The sequence below is a fragment of the Homo sapiens genome, chromosome 16 (assembly GCF_000001405.40).
Source record: "Homo sapiens chromosome 16, GRCh38.p14 Primary Assembly".
Lineage (NCBI taxonomy): Eukaryota > Metazoa > Chordata > Mammalia > Primates > Hominidae > Homo > Homo sapiens.
Window position 1 is genome coordinate 80,188,720 of NC_000016.10, and position 20,664 is coordinate 80,209,383.

Sequence of the window (20,664 nt, forward strand, 5' to 3'; positions counted from 1 at the left end):
CCCACTTTCCATTTTCAGCCTCCCTAAACTTCCCTCTCACCTCCAGATCCGTGCACAAGCTCTTCAGCCCGTGAAACTCCCCTCAACCTTCAGGCCTCTGCTCAGATGTAAAACTCTCTGAGAAGACTTTCCTGTGGCCTCAAAACTGTAGGCAATGTCCCTAGACTGGACCTCCTGCTCTCTCCACTTCATAGCCTTATCACAACAAAAGGGAATCACCTGTTTAATTTTGTCTATTCACCACTATATTGTAAGCTCCCAATGCACCATTGTACTCAATGCCAGGCTTACTGACTGGCACACAGGAGACATATAATAATTATGTAACAAGAATAAATGCATGAATGAATGAATAAATGGATAAGTAATGTTATGACTTGGTCTATAAGAGTTATTATACTAAAGTTGCTTCAATTGAAAACAGCAAAAGATAATTAGAAGTTTAGATTTTTTTTCAAGTGATTTTTTGGAGAGGTCATGGGGTCAGCCTAATTCCGTGATCTGTAAACAAGACACCGCACAGAGGATGCACTGAATGCATATTCACCGTCTACATGTGAGAGGCTCCAGGACAATCCAGCTCTAAAGGATCATCCACCAACAAAGAGGTGACTCTAAAAGCAAACATACAACGTCTGCTACAGAATGTATTCCTCATTGATACTTAAATGGAACCTGAGAGAGACAGAGGTTTAATGAACAAAGACTCCAGAGGAGGGAGCCTGTCCCTGGGTAAAATGAAATCACTCCCGATTACCTGCGATCTACAGCAGTCATGAGCTCCTGTACACAATTTAAAGGTTATCTTGTAATTTAGAAAGAAAAAAAAATTGCCAATTGAACCTAATGGCAAGTGACACTTGGGCTCAGCCACGATTAGAATCAGGCAGCTTTCCTCGGGTGGTTTAGTAGCAGCAGCTTCCCTGTGTTCACAGAGGGTTAATTCTGTGATCCTTGGGGACACCTTAATGGCCCTGGTTATCCAAACCTTGATTCAGAGCAGAGGCCACAGATTATGTTTTCTCTGCACATCAACAGACATATTAGGACATGAAGTGAAGATGACAGGTGGAGAATATTTCCTTTCTCCTCGGAAATGCCCCAGGAGAGTTTTCTATGGCGACCTCCTCAGACCCTGGCTTTGCATTAGAGTTATTGTCCTGAGAGAAGATTCAGTTAGAGCCTCTGATTCATTTCTTATAGTGCTCTCTTGTTTATTCTTGGTGGCAGCTAACTTGTAAAATTTTATTATGTTTTTTTTTTCTTGGTTTGTGTCATGGAAGAGCTAAAAAACAAACAAACGATGATTCTATCATCAGTTCTAAATGCAGCTGTATAAATCCACACCAAGGCTGGATGTCTACAGGGGAAATGCAAGATAACAGCTTGTTCTCTTCCAAGTGGTCGTTCTCTGGGTTTAGATTTTGTGTTTCTAACAGCCCAGAAGACAAAGGGAGTGAGGGAGGAAAGCATAAGGCTTGTGGGTACTATTGGTATAGTGGTCATTGGTATATTGGATATATTGGTATATTGGTATATTGGATTTCAAATTCTATCCTCTGTCTACACTGGTATTAGGGTGATCCTTATCAAGCACAGTATGATCCAATCACCACCACTAATCAGTGATTCACCAAAATGACCATGGCTTGCTGTAATTGCCACATTGAGGGCTTTCCAGATTCTGCTGCCCGGAGCTTCAAACTATGTATGCCAACTATACTAAATACACAGTATCCATCATAGATTCACTTTTTCAAGACTCTATGCCCTGCTTGTACTTTTCTGTTAGAACACTGTTTATTTTCTCCCTCCATCCTTTTTTCCCTAACTGCTACTTATTTGTCCAGATTTAACTCAGATGTCATCTCTACCAAGCTGGTTCAACAACACCCTACTGAAATTAATCAATCTACTGAAATAACCCATTATATTTACTGTTTGTCAAAACTACTGTCTGCTGTTCGTGGTAGCTCACGCCTGTAATCCCAGCACTTTGCGAGGCAGAGGCACGCAGCTCACTTTTGCTCAGGAGTTCAAGACCAGCCTGGGTAACATGGTGAAACCCTGTCTCTACAAAAATATATTAAAAAATTAGCCAGGCGTAGTGGTGCATGCCTGTCGTCCCAGCTACTCAGGAGGCTGAGGTGGGAGAACTGCTTGAGCCCAGGAGGTGGAGGCTGCAGTGAGCTGGGATTGCACCACTGCACTATAGCTTGGGTGACAGAGTGAAACCTTGTCTCAAAAAAAGAAAACAAAACAAAACAGAAAACCTACCCTCTACATGAGCATTCAGACCATGATATATTCATCTTTATATTTCCAAAGCCTAGCACAGTGCTTGGTACATGATGGATATTCAAAACACCTTCACTGAACTGTTCATGCTTTAACCTAGAGGCCATTATCTCCAAGACAGGATACTCTTCAAAGCTTGGTGGGTATTCCCTTATTTGCTCATGTAGCAGACTATTTAATCTCACTTGTAACATTAATTAGCATTTCTTTAAATTTGTCTATCTTTCCCTCTGGATCAGAAGCTTCTCAAGGGCAGAAAGTACATCCTCTTTGTTCACCAGGGCATGCCTGGAGCCACGTACAGTGCCTAGAACAAGATACGTGTTTAGTAGAAACCTGCTGAATAAATAAATGAATGAACAAGGTATACAGACAAAAGGCCCCCTTCACAACGACCCTCTGGAGTTCAACAGTTTGAAGTGCCTTGATTGTCCCTTAAAAGGTGAAAAGAAGGAGGAAGAGGAAAAAGATTAAAGTTAATGAACATAAATAAGAGGAAAGAAAGGAAACCGTTATCTTTAACTGACTATGCACAGACCCTGTGCTGGCCATTTGGTGTGTGTGACTTCACTTAACCTCTGCAAGTCTCTGTGGTAGAAAATGGATTCTGCTTCTGTTTAGAAGTGATGAGAAAGGCCCAGGAAAGCAGAGCATGGGGTCGGCATGGGAAGGAAACGCTGAAAAAGGATTTAGTGAGTGCAGACAAGTCTTTTGTCCTGGAGATGTTTTCACCAGCCCTTGGTATTTTATTGCCCTCCCCCTCTTCCCTGCCTCTCTCAGATGCTGAGGACAACTAATAACCACCAAGAAAGTCAGATGGTTCCCCATTATATCCATACAAGTTCAAATTTCCATTAACTCCACAAGGTTTTGCTGTTTCTACTGACTATTTCATCTTGCCCCCCATTTCCCAGCATTCTCGGATCTAAAATATGCATCAGGAACTCTAGCGTCTCAGTAACGGTAAGCTGTAGTCATGCATTTCATCAACAAGAAGCCACAATTTTATATTCACTGGCTAATGATGCTGTCAATCAGTTTTCCTCCTATCCTGCCAAAATCCTGACTGCCTGTTTGCATGACCTTCTCAGTGTGTTTATACACTTTGGGAATACTCCCATTGAGATTTCTTCATGGCTTCAACACATCTTCAATTCCCTTAGAATTGGGCAGCCAAGTCCCTCCCTTCTGGGATCAGTAATCTGGATTTCCATTAGCTGGGTTGGTGTTCCTTAATCTGAAATTCCTGACTAAAACACCAGGTCTTGGACAATTTCCCAAATGTAGTAGAAGATGAATTCCCTTCTCCTTCTATGCATCTATTCATCTTCTATGCAACCAGGACCTTTCGTATCTCTTCTTGTTAAAGAACGGCTCTCTGTTCCCTTTGAGTGCTCCCTTTCCTACCTTTTGTACCACATTCCTGAATCATTGTAAACTCCCACCAGGTCAACAGTGGGACTAAGAAATGATGAAGATCATAGTCCCTGGATGACAATGTGGACTTGGATTTCACTGCAGACACTGTACGGGTAGCTGGAGCAGTTGGTATGTCTGTCAAATGTGCAAGAAACTCATAATGGTAAATTACGCTGTTCCTAGGCTCACACATCCGAGGGCTGCAGAGAAAATGAGAGGTTCCCAGAAAGCTTCTACTCTCTGCCTTAGGGATCATATAAATCTCACATTTGAGAGTGGGCTTGAGAAGTCAAGGGCATCATTACTATGTCATCTTATTCTGCAGTTTTGAGGCCAATGAAATAATGTAAATAGCAGATTGTGTCCATGATGCAAAAGATGTTCACAGAATCAAGTAAGACACATTTCACTCTCTAGATAAGTGATATAGCACAGACCAGCATGTGAGAGATTTTCAGTTTAAATACAGCTCAGACTCCATTATTTATCATTATTAATAATTTGAATTATTTTTAATGAAGATAATCATCTTATGTTCATCACAAATTAATTTGAATAATCTACAACCCACTCACCCCAAATCTCCTCCTCAGCCTAAATCTCAATTAATGCCCCCAGAACTCTAAACCAGAACCTTAGAATTATCTCTGACATCTGAATCTTCTTCTTGCCTCTCTTTCTCTTTCTCTCACCTCTATTAAAAAGTCTCTCCAGTCCACTTTTTATTTATCTCCACTGGCATTTCCTTTGTCCAGTGATTCTCAACATTTTTAACATTATCATCTTCCTAAAACGCCTTTTAACACATTTTTTCTCATCTCTTCCAATGAAATTTTAATGTCACAGATAAACACTGTGTATCTGGTAATGCACTGTGTGTATAACTGTGCTTTACACATTTAAAAGCTAAACTTGTTATCAACCCTCAAGAACCAAATTTTGCTACCCCTGGGGTGATACCACTCTGTTGAGAAGATATGCCTTTATCAAGTTCACTGTCATCTTACTCTTGCTCAGCCCCATGCCATCAACCCAACCCTAGCAACGTCGGGCTCCAAAGTGCTCAGCAACTTCTCTGCACATTCCCGTAGCTTACTGTGTCCTGCTGTCCTTATGGCCTGCTTTGCTGTGGTCTGCCACACCATGAAAAAAAACTTCTGTATACTCCCTGAACCACAGGATACCTGTAGGCTTTTGAAGATTTGAGGTTCTTGCCCGAAGAAAAAAATATTTTACATAGGTAACCTCCACTCCCTGCCCCCTTCTTCATTACTCTCTCTTCCCCATCTTGTTCCAGTACAAGTAAAACATTTCTCTCCTCACCTAGCTCATATAGATCCTCTCATAATCTAAGCCACATCTCAATAGGACTTATCAAGGAATGGTGACTGAACATATAGAAGGCACCCCAGGAAGGAGTTCTGACAAATGCAACGGCCTCCAATTTCTTTCTTCTTTTTTTTTTTTTTTTTTTTTTTTTTTGACAGAGTCTCACTCTGTAGCACAGGCTGAAGTGCAGTGGCACAATCTCAGCTCACTCCAACCTCCGCCTCTTGGATTCAAGCAATTCTCATGCATCAGCCTCCCAAGTAGCTGGGATCACAAGGACATGTCACCACGCCCAGCTAATTTTTATATTTTTAGTAGAGACAGGGTTATGCCATGTTGGCCAGGCTGGTCTTGAACTCCTGGCCTCAAGTAATCCACTCACCTCAGCCTCCCAAAGTGTTGGGATTACAGACATGAACCACACTGCACCTGGCCCTGCCTCCAATGTCTTACACCTGTGCTTCTGCAATAATCTCCTTGTAGCTCTCCTTATATTTCTGACATCCCCTTTCTAAAATATGCATATCATTATTATACTCTAGTAGCCAAGATGCTCTTTCTAAAATAAAATCTTATCATTTTCCTCTTCTTTCAAAAATTATTGAATGGCCACTCTTTGCCAATAGGAGAAGAAAGTTTAATGATAATAATGATGATGATGATAATAGCATCATATACAAAAACTATCAGGATATGGCTGCTATTGTCTTCTTATCCCCATTGCTCATCATACTCTGTTCTTTTTCCAGTTTTCTGTACACCCATATTTTTTAGGTTCCATCTGTATTTTCAGGAAATCTCTTCTTCATCCTTCAAAACCCAGCTTATTTGGAACCATAAACTGGGCAAAGGTCCCAAACTCTGTGCTTATATGGCCTTCCAAGTAAACTTTTATATTAACAGTCATTATGATACATAATAATTGATACTATCTATAGTTTCTTCTGCCAGGCAGAGTTTATCTAAATACCTAGTGCTTGGCATACAGTGGCCACTCATTAATTATTTGTTGAATTGAATTGCACTGTTTTACAAGGATGCATGATCTAAAAAGAGTGCAATTGATTAAGAATCCGACAGATCTTTAAAGACAAAGATGAAGGTCTTTGAGAACCATGATCTCACAAGCATGGCTTCCAGATACATGCAGGTGGGAGAGAAGCTCTTTCCATTAGGAGTAGAAGCCCTTCTCCTGCCCTGTGGCTGCTGTAAAGCCCAGAACACCAAACTGCCATAGCATAATGACAGATGAAAGCTGCAAAATTAAATTCAAGCTCATCTTGCAATTTTGTGTTTAGCCTTCTGTTGCCAACTAGGAGGTGCTTACACAACAGCTTAAGGGTTTACCACTAATGCCTTCCTTAAGACAGTATTGTTTGCTGGCAGTCAAATCTCCACACTAAATTGCTGGTTGTGGTGGTGGCTGTGTTAGATAGGGAAAAGTCACAAAAAAAAAAAACCAATGGGATTAATCTTTCAGCTGTAATCCATTGTTGCTGGGTGGGAACAATGACTTTTGAGTTTCATTATGGCTCCAAATGAAATGGATGGAAACATCCCCCTCCATAGTCTATATTATGAGCCTTCATTTGGGGTTTCTTATAATGTAGGCTTATTCTCTCTCCTCTGAACTTGACCATGTTCATTCCTCAAGGTCAGGAGAAAGGGGATTTCTTATCTTTCCCTGGTTCATCTCCAGATCTCAAGTTTACATTTGATTTCACGAAAGAGAACTATCTCACCAAAATCAGTATTAGTGTGAATTGTAGTTGACTTTGACACTTTCCTCAAATTTTGCTGACAATTTCTACCTAAACTGTGATTCTAAAAAAAAAAAAATCTTAATAGATGGATTGTGTTAATGAAGTGGGAACAAATTGGACTGGTTAAGGCTAGGGAGGAATTTTGCTTTAATCTGTCTGGGAAAGAGATGAATGCCATGTGGTCAAAAAGAGGGCCCTGGAATCAGTTTGATCTGAGTCTATAATTCATGCTTTTGCAAGTTCATTTTTTCAAGTAGACTTTTTACTGAAGTCTAACATATATAAAGTAATATCCCAAATTATAAGTGTGCAGCTAGATGAGTCTTCACAAACTGAACACAGCCATATAACTATTACGTTGGTGCAAAATTAATTGCAGTTTTTGTAATTGCCATTACTTTCAATGGCAAAAATGCAGTTACTTTTGCGCCAATTGCACCCAGATAAATGAACATTACAATAAACACAGGAGCTCTGTTCATGTAACCTTGGTCACTACCAAGCCTCAATGTAACAATTATCCTGACTTCTATCACCCTGCATTAATTTTGCTTGCTTTGTTGTACAATCATACAACATGAACTATTTTGTGGCTGCTTTCCTTTACTCAAATATTTGTGAGATTCATCCATGTTTGTATACAGCTATAATTCATTCATTCTCAGTAATGTATAGTATTCCATTGGGTTAACATACCACAATCATTTTATCTATTCAATTGTTGATAGATATTGAATTGTTTTCACATTAGGGCTATTACAAAGAGGTCTTCTATGAGCATTCCATGAACATGCCTTTAGGTGAACACGTTATGTGTTTCTGAAAAAGTACCTAAGAGTGAAACTGCTAAGTCACAGAGTAACTTATGTTCACCTTTTCCCGACCTCAATTTCAAATTTACCCTTCCTACTCTTCTTGGGTGACATTAAATAAGTCACTTACGATTCTCAAGCCTATTTCTCCATCAGTGAATGGACAGAGTTCGTGTTAAAAAGTTGTTTTAAATATAAAATCAAGTGGCCAGGCACAGGGGCTCACGCTTGTAATCGCAGTACTTTGGGAGGCCAAGGCATGCGGATCACAAGGTCAAGAGATTGAGACCATCCTGGCTAACATGGTGAAAGTCCGTCTCTCCTAAAAATACAAAAAATTAGCTAGTTGTGGTGGCACGTGCCTGTAGTCCCAGCTACTCGAGAGGCTGAGGCAGGAGAATAGCCTGAACCAAGGAGGCGGAAGTTGCAGTGAGCCAAGATTGTGCCACCGCACTCCAGCCTGGCAACAACAACAACAACAACAACAACAACAACAACAAATATATATATACACACACACACACACATATATATATACACACATATATATACACACACATATATATACACACACACATATATATATACACACACATATATATACACACACACATATATATACACACACACACACATATATATACACACACACACATATATATATACACACATATATATACACACACACATATATATACACACACACACATATATATATACACACATATATATACACACACACATATATATACACACACACACACATATATATATACACACATATATATACACACACACACATATATATATACACACATATATATACACACACACATATATATACACACACACACATATATATATACACACACACATATATATATACACACATATATATACACACACATATATATACACACACACATATATATACACACACACATATATATATACACACATATATATACACACACATATATATATACACACACACACATATATATACACACATATATATACACACACATATATATACACACACACACACATATATATACACACATATATATACACACACATATATATACACACACACACACATATATATACACACACACACATATATATACACACACACACATATATATATACACACACACATATATATACACACACATATATATATATACACACACACACACATATATATATATATTTTTTCAAGTAACTTAAAGCATCTGGCACAGTTCTGATGTATAAGTAATATTTGTCCCAAAGATGTTTAGTGCTCACTGAATAATCTACATGCTCCCCTATCTTTCCTGTCCTTTGTGAAGATCGACTGGGACATATGCCATGAGTTTTGGTCGATGGGATGTGAATGGAAACGAGCTGTGCTGCTTCTGGGCCATGAAGCCACCCATTCAGTTCTCTCTTCTCTGCTTCAGAGCCCTGGCAAGCAAGTGTTGAAGCAGTGGCATCACAAGAGGATGGGATTCTCCAGGGTCCCCGAGGAACTGTATGGAGCAGAAACTTTGCCAACTGGCATCGACATGTTATATAAACAAGACAGAAATTTTTGCAGTGTTGAGTCACTGGAATTTCTAGGTTACATTATTACTGCAGCATACCATAGACTATCTGGAAAAATACAATAATCAAAGGATGAGATATGGCTCCACCCCAATGAAACCACTAGAATTTCCCTTCAAAGAGTGGTATGACTCAGGTTCAACACAGACATCACATATTACTTCATTTCTGAATGACAACGAAATCTTTTCTTACACTAAAGAGGAAAATTTGAAAGTGATCTTTTGCTGGAACGTGTTAATTGAAGAATCTCTCTTCTCTGTTAAGAAACCAGATTGTAATTCCAAAACTGTGTCTGATGTGCCCCAAACATAGCATTGCCGTCTAAAGAGAAGGCCCTTGGTGATTATTAGTTTAAAAAAATAAAATTCTCTCCCACCAGGTTCAAAGCCAGCCTCATTCTTTTGTTCCTGTAAAGACTTTCTTTCTTTATGTTCCCTGGTGTCTATATGGCCTATGAGCTTTCTCCTAATGATTAAACTCCTAAAAATACTACGAAGCATGCTTAATAAGGCTTTTGTGTTTTTCTGGTTGCTATAGAGACTATTTAGCATAGGACTTTAAGTACGTGTAAATATGTATTTTGGGTAGTGTTCAAAGACACGTATAATTTACTCAGCCATAACAGCTACTTCAGAGTGTTGCAGTTCAGTATGATAAGGCATATGTAAAGCATTTTATAGTGTGTTATTTATAATTATTTGCTTAACAGCCTACAACAGCTTCTTCCATTGTGTAAAGGAAACAGGCATTTACCCTGTTTTAACAATGAATATCATTTACTCCATTGTAGCAATTGATAGACTTGGGCACCATGCAGGCTGGTAAATATGCAATTGGTATAATGTTGACGCAGGACAGAAACCATGTTGACAGAGAGTTACTAGGAAAACAAAGGGTCCTGCTGCTGAAGACTTGAGCTCATTAGAGAAGTTGTTAACTGAGCTACTCTGGCAGGAGAGGAAACCCCTGGAAAGAGGCCACTATCTGCTTTGAAGTCCCCCCCAGGGACGTACCCATGAGTGAAACAACAGAGATAATGGCAACAACAACTAATAGTTATTAAGTACACTTGACTATGGACCGCAGGCATGGTGCTAAGTGCTTCACATTCATGATCTCATTTAATCCTCTCAACACCATAACCCTATGAAATGAGTACTGCCATTATCTTCACTTGTTGCATAAGGAAATTGAGTCAGTGAGGTTACACAACTTGCTCAAGATCATCACAGGAAGATGGTGGATCCAGGAGTCAAATCCCGTACATATTCCTCCAAAGCTTGTGCTTTAAATTAAGTGTTGCTCCACATCACTGATGTTCCATCAGGGATTTCTTGAGCTACATCAAGCTTTCTCAGCAATATATCCACTAGACCTGCAGCACACACATTTTCCAAGCACAATGAGTTTTGGGCAATGTTCACTTCTACTATCTAAAGAAAAAGACGAGATCTCCACTGTTCAGATACCTTACACATGTCATCTTTTAAGCCTCACGCATCTTCAGCTCATAGACTTCATCACCCATTTTGTTCAGACGAGGAACTAACTCTCAGGACAGTCCTGTCTAACATGACACAGTATGCATGTAAAAGAGCCAGTACTCAATACCAGATCAGGTATAATTCAAAAACCCTTCTCATTATTAAAAAGCACAGATACACATGTTTCTCAACTATGGGACAAGCTGTTCCCCAGGGGATGTTTGATAATACCTGGAGACATTTTTGGTAGTCACAGTGGGTGGGGGAAATACTATTGACGTCTAGTACGTAGAAGCAAGGATGCTGCTAAACATCCTACAATGCATAGGACAGCCTCCCACAACAAAGAATTATCCATCTGCAAATGTCAATAGTGCTGAAGTTGAGAAACGCTGACTTCATGTAATTAAATACAGGCCAAGATGGAACAGGCAACATTATGTCTGTTGAAGTTAAGTTTAAATTATGCTGGTTGTTCATTTATCTGCTAAGCTGGAAAAATGGATTTTATGATTTAGGATTTTAAAACTTTGAAGAGTCAAATCTTCATTTGTATATCCAGTTGTTTCAGAAAGGCATATAAAAGGTACTCATACCCCAAAATATGTTCAAGGAAACTTGTGATCAGTATGGACCCTTCTAGCATCTTAAATGAGATGGTAAGAGGCTCTGAGCTCATTCAGATACAGAGAAAGCCAACAAAGAATGTTTATCTGGATATTAAGCTTGATGAAGGCAAGAAATTGTCTGGTTAACTACAGTTTTTGTCTTTCCAATTATAGTAGGTAGCGCATGGTCAATGCATGCTCATCACATGCTCTAGTGAGTAACTGGTTCCCAGTAAGAACCATGTAATGGCTCCAGATGAATCCACCTTATCTCTCCTCCCCGATCTTTTCCTCATATCTCTCACAACTATATACTCACTGAGTCAGTCAGTTAATAAGTATCTACGGCATATGCATTTCCTCTGGGATCTCTACTAGACTGGAACTTGTTCTCATCACTATTTTGATTTCTGAGAAAATGAAAAATCTAGTATCATTTTTGCAAAATACATTAAGCTCTGTAAGGACAGATGACTCTTCTCTGATTTATTCAGAGCTGCATCCTTGAATGTATCCTCTTCTAGGATAGTATCTGGCATATAGGAGTTGTCCATTAAATATTTGTTGGCTAACGAAATAAATGAAATTACCATATTCTATGATGATGGGAAAACCCAGAAAACAGGAATAAAGTTCAAGAAGAACCAGATTACTTACAAAATAGAAACACCAGGGTAAAACCAGTTCTAGACAAGTGTTGGATGGGTATACACAGGTACGAGCTATACCTGCAGGATGGAGAATGGAAAGGCATTCTAGAAGAGAAAGAAGTCCAGGGAAGTCTGAGGAGTAGAGACAGCTGACAGCTACCCTTTCGGTAAGATTCATTGTCCACTTACTCTCATCACTGGGGCTCCCTTGAGGGGAGCAAGCCTTATGTTTTAGGTATTTATACTTTGTTACCTAATGGATCCAACCTTCTGATAGTTGTTAGAGATATGGCCCTGGATTAATAGAAGTCCTTCCCTGGACTTTAGGATTCACCCTTAGAAGTAAGAATAAACACAATTATCCTTTATGGAGCATTTTTCCATGTGTCAGATGCTAAGCCAGATAGTTTATTTCTATTCTATTTACAACTTAATCTTAACTGAAACACCGCAAGGAAGGTACAACCATTCCCATTTTGCAGTTGAGGAAGCTGAGAATAAACTCTGCATAATGGCTAATTGCTTTTGGCTTTACAAAATAATGCATTCTAAGGAGAGAGTGTGAAGTTTCTGGGAGGGAACTCCAGCTAAGAGAGTGGTGATGATCTTATAATGCAGTGTTGGTCCTTCATGTCATCATGGGCCTAGCTCAGCTCAAATCATGCAGCTTTGCTGGGATTCCCAAGCAGGAAGTATCTAAGCAGGAAGCTGGAAGTGGTTAAGAGGTTTTGAAAAAATTAGCCAACCTAGAAGAGCCATAATAAAAGGAGATCAGCAGTGTCAATCATTGAGTCCAAAAGGATGTAAGGAACTCTAGGATCAATATCCAGCTGGTCTGGACCATGGGCATGAGTTAGAGAGCAGTCCAGTTGTCAATGGAAGGAGGACCTCACATCAGACAGGTGCACAAGCATTAGGATGAGGTTTATACAATTCTAGGAGAGGGCTGCAAGACATGTGGTCCAGCCCTGGACATCTGGGCTGTCTTGAATTAGATGAGGGGTCCATACTACAGCCCATGGGATAGACACAGGTCCAAGATGCACTTGGAGCATCAGGCTGAAAGAACATTAGGATTAGGAAAATCTCTGATGGAAAGGAGGGGGTAGGAAGAATCTATTTGGCAAATATTTGTTGAGATTTTTTTATGTGCCTGCCATTGGGAATATAGTCGTAGGCAAGAAACAAATGCTGTCTCCACCGAGTTTACAGTCCAGCAAGGCAGACAAATGAGATATAGGTAACCTTCTGGTCAGCCCTGCTACAACATTCACCAATGGAGAAGGTGTAGCTGATCTTCTATGATTTTGCTACTCAAAATGTGGTTCACAGACCAGCAGCATCAGCAACACCTGGGAGTTTATTAGAAAAAAAAAAAAATCTCAGGCCTCATCTCAGAGCTCCAGAATCAGATTCTGCACTTTGGCAAGATCCCAGGGGACTCCTATTTTCATTAAACTTTGAAAAGCGGTGGTCTGCAAGCCCTCCTTCCAGAGCACAGTCTTTGGTGTACGCCACCAGCACATGGGGGTCTGTCATCTCCTGACACAGACGTCCTCAGAGATATGAAGGTTATATCAGATTCAGCAGAGAACAGGCAAAGGGGAAGCAAAGTGTATTCTCAGGAGCTCCTGGAAATAATTACCGTTCTCTTAATAATAAATGAATAGGCTGCAGTCCCAGAACACATTGAGAACAAAGCAAAACATGTCAATATAAAATCCAGCAAATAAAAGAATCAATTTAAAATAGATTTCTCTAAATGGTTTGCCTGCTTGGGCTAAGTGCCCCGCCTCTGGGCTCACATAGCATATTGTGCTTATTCCTGCCTCAGTTCTTACTTTTTGATCTTGAACTTTCCTGACTATAATTTCTTTGAGGACCCTTTTCCCTCAAAAGACAAGAAAAGGATCCTGGCCCCAAAAAGGATTAGAGACAGCTATAAAAGGCTAAAAGAATAGTTCTCTATATGACATACTTTCAAAAGAAGAATAATATAGGCAGTTCCAAATTCCTTCACAAATATGGACTGAAAGGTTCACTCCCCATCCCCATTACCCAATACCTCCCACCCCCTTGGAACATTCTAGACTCTCAGTGTCATGTGTCAGCAATTAGTATTTGCCATCACAGTGAGTGGAGTCTGTTCTTTTCCGAGACTTTATGTACATTCACCAAAGACAACAGAAGACACTCACATATCTATGCCCTTCGATGGTGCCTTCCCATGAGAACTCTGGCTTGGCCACATAAGTTGCTTCAACATATAGGACAGAAGCAAACTCAATACAAGCAGAAACTTAAAGAAACATTTCTATTTTCTCTCTCTTGTTCAGTAGGAGCCTGAACAAGCCTGGATTTGCCCACTGGAGGATGAGAAGACGCTTGAAGCAGAGTCCAGAACACAGAGAAGAGTCCAATTAAGATCAGCAAAGCTGCCTAACCAACCCACACCTACCTACCCATAGAGAAATGGATGAGCTCTACCAAGCCCAGTTCACCCCAGTGGAAATGACTACCCATCTGCATATGCAAAGCTGAATAAATGCTTATCACTTGAAACCATTGGGTGTGGGGTTTTTATGCAGCAATAGCTAACTGCTACAAGCCACCAAGTAGAAGATGCTTTCCTTCAGAGAACACCTAATTTCTTTTTACATACAAACCCGCTTTGCATTTGAATTTCTTGCTAAGGCTGAGCAGGCTTTAGGTATGAAAAAAAATAAAGAAAAAAAGTCATAGGAACAGACCTTGCCTTCAAGTATGCTCATATTTTGATGACACTTAGAAGGTCACTTAGAAACTGCTTTGAGTCAAGAAATTATCCCCAGAGGCTATTAAGAACATTTTTAGGTTCTATTTTGCTTCTTATTGTCTATGAAGGAAAACTCTGTAAATTAAATCTTGTGTGAATATGAGTAGTAGAGAACAAATTGAACTAATTTAAACAATTAAAGGGAATAAGTAATTAAGGGTGCATGTGTCAGGATTTTTTTAGTTGTAAAGGACAAAAACCAAACTTACACCAACATAAGCCAAAAATAAGGCACACATTAACTCATGTGACTGAGGAGTCATCCAAGGATGTTCTGATTTGAGTCACAATTGAATCCTGGAACTTATTACGTTCTGTTGTTTCCATCTTTGCCACTGGCCCATGTGTCCTTCAATCCTCTGGGAAAGATATCCATTCAGCACATCTCCCCAAATTCCAAATTCTCCCCTGTTCCAAATTCCAGGCTCTAGAGCTCTGACTCCAAATTTCAAATAATCAGTGAAAGGAAACCTGATTGTCCGGCTGCACGTCAGGTGTGTACCTCTGATCTCATCTTCTGTCATATGGCATGCAGACAGCTTGGTAGACCTGGCCACTCTCAAATAGAACCATTGCGCAAACACCCCCAAAGCTAATGTCACCTGAGACATTTTTCTACTCTCCCCTCCTGTCTCACTTCTTTCTCTGCCCTCACTGTTCTCCAGCATTCATTTTCCATATGTAGGATGGTGTTGAAAATGTTTACAAACTGAATATTTGTTTTTAAAAGGATAGGTGACATAAAACCTGTGTCATTTTATTTTCCTCTTATGTCTGTTTTGCTTTTAAATAAATACATTCATCTCATGGAATGAAGGGGAAAGAAAGACAGGTAGAATGTTAATACCCAAAGTTAGATTGTTAATAATCTCAGAGGCTCTGTTCCTGACAAGATGTGTGACTTTCTAAAAGTGGCTTCACTTCTCAGAGCATCATTTTCTGAGCTATTAAATTCTCAGCAGAGGTTATAAAGTCTACCTTGGATGTTGGCTTCAGAGAGTCTGTAAAGCTCTAGATAAAAGCAAGTTCTAATTCAATGACAATAACGACGACTGCTATCACCACTGTTACTGCAAATAATGACAATAACAAATGATGTGGGGCTCAGGATTCAACAAGGTTTGGGCACTCATGAAACAAACCATGACAGCTGAGTGTCTCTTCCAACGCCTTTGAACCTCACTCGGTGGCCTTCAGTCTGATGAGCTGGCTGTGCTCTCCCAACTTCTGCCTTAGTGTTTGTTTATATCTTTGCATGTATGTGTGTATCTCTGATTTCCGACTTTATTTCTCTACCTCCTTCCCTCTGACTCTATCTTTGTCTCTCACTCCCTCTCCCCTTTCTCTCTTTCTGTCATTGTTTGTCTGTCTTCTGTCCTCCCTTAGTTTCTTACTTTGTCTCGCCTCCCCACATTCCTCTGTCTACCTTCCTTTCTCTCTCTTTCACTCACCCTCTCTAGTGGCCTTGGCACTAGATGGATTTCCCCACCTTGCTTCTGCCACCCAATCTGGCATGACATGTGCTTCCTTTTCCCTGTCACAAGCAACTGTGTCCTGTCTTGACAGCTTAAACAACAACAACAAAATAGTTTGTGCCAACCTCCGGATGCTTAAGCCAACATGGTCTAGCTGACCCCCTGCCAGGGGAAGGGTTCACCCAGTTTGCCAAACATGAGGCCCATGTGAGCACCAAGGCACCAAGGAGTCACCTGGCTGCTGTCACCCAGACAGAGGTCCCACCCATTCCCTGGAAACCCCTAGGAGCAGGGGTTCTCTCCCCTATGATGTACCAAGAGCACTTCAGATTCAACATGCCTAAGACTAAACTAAAGTTCTCCCCACCCAAGCCTAGTCCCTGCTGTCTCTCAGGAAATGGCCCCACCTGTCTGTTGTTCATATACTTTATATAACTTTTTTTTTTTTTTTTTCTGAGATGGAGTCTCACTCTGTCGCCCAGGCTGGAGTGCAAGTGGCGCAATCTTGGCTCATTGGAAGCTCCGCCTCCTGGGTTCACACCATTCTCCTGCCTCAGCTTCCTCAGTAGCTGGGACTACAGATGCCCGCCACCGCGCCTGGCTTTTTGTATTTTTAGTAGAGACAGGGTTTCACCATGTTAGCCAGGATGGTCTCGATCTCCTGACCTCGTGATCTGCCCGCCTCGGCCTCCCAAAGTGCTGGGATTACCACACCCAGCCACTTTATATAGCTTTTAAAGCATAATCAAGAACATATAAAAATAAGATAAAATATAAGATCACATATAAGATAAAATAAGATAAAAATAAGATATTACATATGTATATTATGTATATACATATATCGTATACATATTCTATATGTATATTATACATATAGAATACCTTATACATATTATAGACGTATATTATACATATATAATACCTTATACATTTTATAGTTGTATATTATACATATCTCATACATTTTATGTATGTATATGTATAATACATATATAATACCTTATACATATTATATATTATACTTATATACCTTATACATATTACTTATATTATATATATATATTATGCATCTTATATATGTATATATTTTATATCTTAAGTATAACATATTAAGTATAATATGTATAAGATATTATATATGTATATAGATAAGATATAAAATATATTATCTTCTTCCTGGTTTTACACAAAAAGTAGCACAACACACACACAAAGTTCTGCCTTGCTTTCTTTTACTTAAGAATATACCTTAGAGATTGTTCCATTTCAGTACACAAACTGATGCCTCATTTTTACAGCTGCGTAGTGTTCCATTCTATGAGTCTTCGGTAATTTAGGTAAATCAGTCTCTGGTCAAAGTTCTCACCATCTCCATTTCCTTCAACTCTTTAGCCAAACCCTCCCTAAGTCCAATCAATTTACCATCCAACCATTTCTCTGAAACATCTTATCACTTCATCTTCATGTCCACTTCAGCCCAGATGTAACAGCCTCATGGTCGAGCTCTCACCTGGACAAAGGCAAAAGTTTCTGACTGATCTCTCTGCAATCAGCCCCCCACAGCCAGAGAGAACCTTCCAAACTCTGACCAAGGAACCCCTTGCCTGCTCGGAACACTTCAATTACTCTCAACATAATGATCCAGAAATCATCAAAAAGCCCTAGAAGGCATGCTCTGGATACCTTCTTCTCTCTGCTTCAGTGCTGAATGTTTCCATGTTCCCTGAAAATATCACACTCCTTTTTGCACACATTACCTCTTTAATCTGGAAGACTTTCCACACTCTCTGAAATTCCATCCTCTGGCTATCATTTATTTTTCATTTAATTTCTGCATAGGTAATATATTCACAGGATTCATAAATCCAAGTCTAAACATCCACAGAGAAAAAATTATCCATCTCACCCTGCTCACATCCACCCAATTCTCCCCAAACCCTAGCCCCACATCTCCATATCCTTCAAGAGATTTTTAAAGCATATTCAAGCACCTATTCATATCCATATTCTCTCCTTCCTGGCTTTACAGAAAGGGTAGCATACTATGCATGCAGATCTGCACCTTGTTCCCTCTTGTTATTTAGCAATATAGCTTAGAGATCATTTTACTTCAGTACATAAACTGATGCATCCTTTTTAGAGGTGTATCATATTCCATTCTATAGATATCCCATAATTTATGTAAACTGTTCCCAAAGCGATAGGTACTAATTTTTTTTTCTATTTTAAATAATACTGAAGACAGTAATATTACACATTTCATTGCAAGCAGGCATAGCTAGAAGAAAAATCCAAGAAAATAAAAATTTGTTTCAAAGTTGATGTATTTGCAATTGTGATAAATGTTGCTAAAGTGCCCTTTATGAGGGTTTCAAATGACATTCTCACTCACTAGAGCCTGATAGCCACACTCTTGCCAACAGATTGTTTTTCTTTTCTATCTGGTAGGTACAAATAGATTCTACCAGATATTTTTTAAAGGCATACAGATTTGATAATTAACCAGTGTGATGCTTGCATGTAATGAGATTTGAGTAGCACACCAGGGTATAAAAATTGAGTTGGACTAAGGATGCCAAGACCTGGACAGCCCATGGCCAAGGGCATCAATGTGCCAGGAAACCTCTCTGTCATACCAGCTAGAAAAATGCAATTTCAAGGAAAACATGTGTGTTTGTTTTTGGTTTTTGTGTTTTTGTTTTGTAAAAGAGTTTTGCTCTTGTCGCCCAGGCTGGAGTGCAGTGGTGTGATCTCAGCTTACTGCAACCTCTACCTCCCTGGTTCAAGTGATTCTCCTGCCTCAGCCTCCCGAGTAGCTGGGATTATAGGTGCTCACAACCACGCCTGGATAATTTTTGTATGTTTAGTAGAGACTGGGTTTCGCCATGTTGGCCAAGCTGGTCTTGAATTCCTGATGTTAGGTGATCCACCCGCCTTGTCCTCCCAAAATGCTGGGATTACAGGTATGATCCACTGCGCCCAACTGGAAAACATGATTTTTATTCCAATTTTATAATTTTAAAAATGGCTTCTTAATCCAATTAACATAGGGGCATATTTGAAGACAGTGGAATTAGCTGGAGTGACCAAAGAACACAAGAATAAAAAGAGACTGGGAAGGACACATAGGCCTTGGTTATAAAGGGAAAAAAAAAAAAAAAAAAAGCTTTGCCCACGCTGTGCTTGCACAGGTGCAAATAATACTTGGCCACTTGACAACATAAGGAACGGCTGCCTGACAAGACAGGCTCAGGCAAGAGGCTTTGGGGTGAGAATGAGACAGAGCATAGACTGGAGACTCAGTCCTCCAACAAATCCCAAATCTAGCCTCAGCTGTGCAGCCTCATTTGAGGTGACTTGACCTCTCTACATGACTCAATTCCTTTATTTGTAATATACAGGAGAATAATTTCTTAGAATTGTTAGGAGAGCTAAATTAGAAAAACTCTTGTAGAGTGCACAGCATTATCCCTGGCACAATGGAAACACTAAGATGGTATCTATTATTTCGTAACAATTCTATTATAATTGGAATTATTATTATTGTATGGCATTAGAATGTGAGCCACAGCTCACTCATCAGTATAAGGTACGTGGCCCTTGGGTCAGACATAATTGGGTCTCTTCCCAAGATTTAGCTTCTCTAGTTGTTCTATTGGTGTGATTTTAATACTGTTCTCTTGCCTATCAAATGGGGGGAATAACTTTTATAAGGATGGTATGAGGTCAGAAAAACAGAATGCTTAGCACACAAGTTACTCCTCAGTAACTCATGGCTATCATTCGAAACCTCAGCACCTAGCAGGAGGAGCTAGAAAACTGGAGTGTTTTATTTATTTTTTTTTTTTATTTTTTTTTTTTCCAGAGAACTTCATCTAGTTTTCCTCTGAAGTTTGGACACAGACACACCCTCCCAAAGAACAAGATCTGCAGCTTTTCCTTTACTGCTCAAGTGGATTCTCCAGGCCAAGTGGAATCCGCAACTGTGGCCCCGAGCCCTCCCCAGCCAGCTCCACAAGTCAAAGCTCTAATTCACTCTGAAAGGGCTTCAGCACCACCCCTGTGAGGTCCTTAAATGTTTTATGAGCTCCCTGAAATGCTCAGATAATTAAAAACACTTTCTTAACTTAATAGCTTGACTTAGTGAAACCAGGACTTTATGTTTTATTTGGAAAGGGGTGAACATCCCAGTCATACTTATTAATATTTTTAAGAGTATGCCCAATTGTGTCCAGGGATGGAGGGAAATCATTGCTTCAAGGAGGGAAATGGGCTTTCCTGAGTTTCTGACAAGTCTTGGGCTTATTAGAGCTCATTACATCCAGGAAGCCTGAAAACCTAAATTAGCAATCACCACATATGACGTGGCAGGCTATTATTAAGAAGGCCACTTATTGTAGAAACATGGAATT

General features: G+C 39.7%; 1 long non-coding RNA gene across 1 annotated transcript in view, besides 1 other annotated feature; it reads right to left on the reverse strand.

Moving 5' to 3' along the window:
- Positions 1–20,664, reverse strand: part of DYNLRB2-AS1 (DYNLRB2 antisense RNA 1) — a 407,178-nt gene that overhangs the window by 32,762 nt on the left and 353,752 nt on the right. The gene's annotated exons all lie outside the window — the stretch shown is intronic.
- Positions 8,672–9,871: an enhancer, noted in NCBI's record as "P300/CBP strongly-dependent group 1 enhancer chr16:80231288-80232487 (GRCh37/hg19 assembly coordinates)". NCBI's record gives its function as "activates an origin of replication core promoter dependent on BRD2, BRD4, P300/CBP, MED14 and CDK7 cofactors, with strong dependence on P300/CBP, by STARR-seq in HCT116 cells {active_cell/tissue: HCT116}" and the evidence as "EXISTENCE:reporter gene assay evidence [ECO:0000049][PMID:35650434]".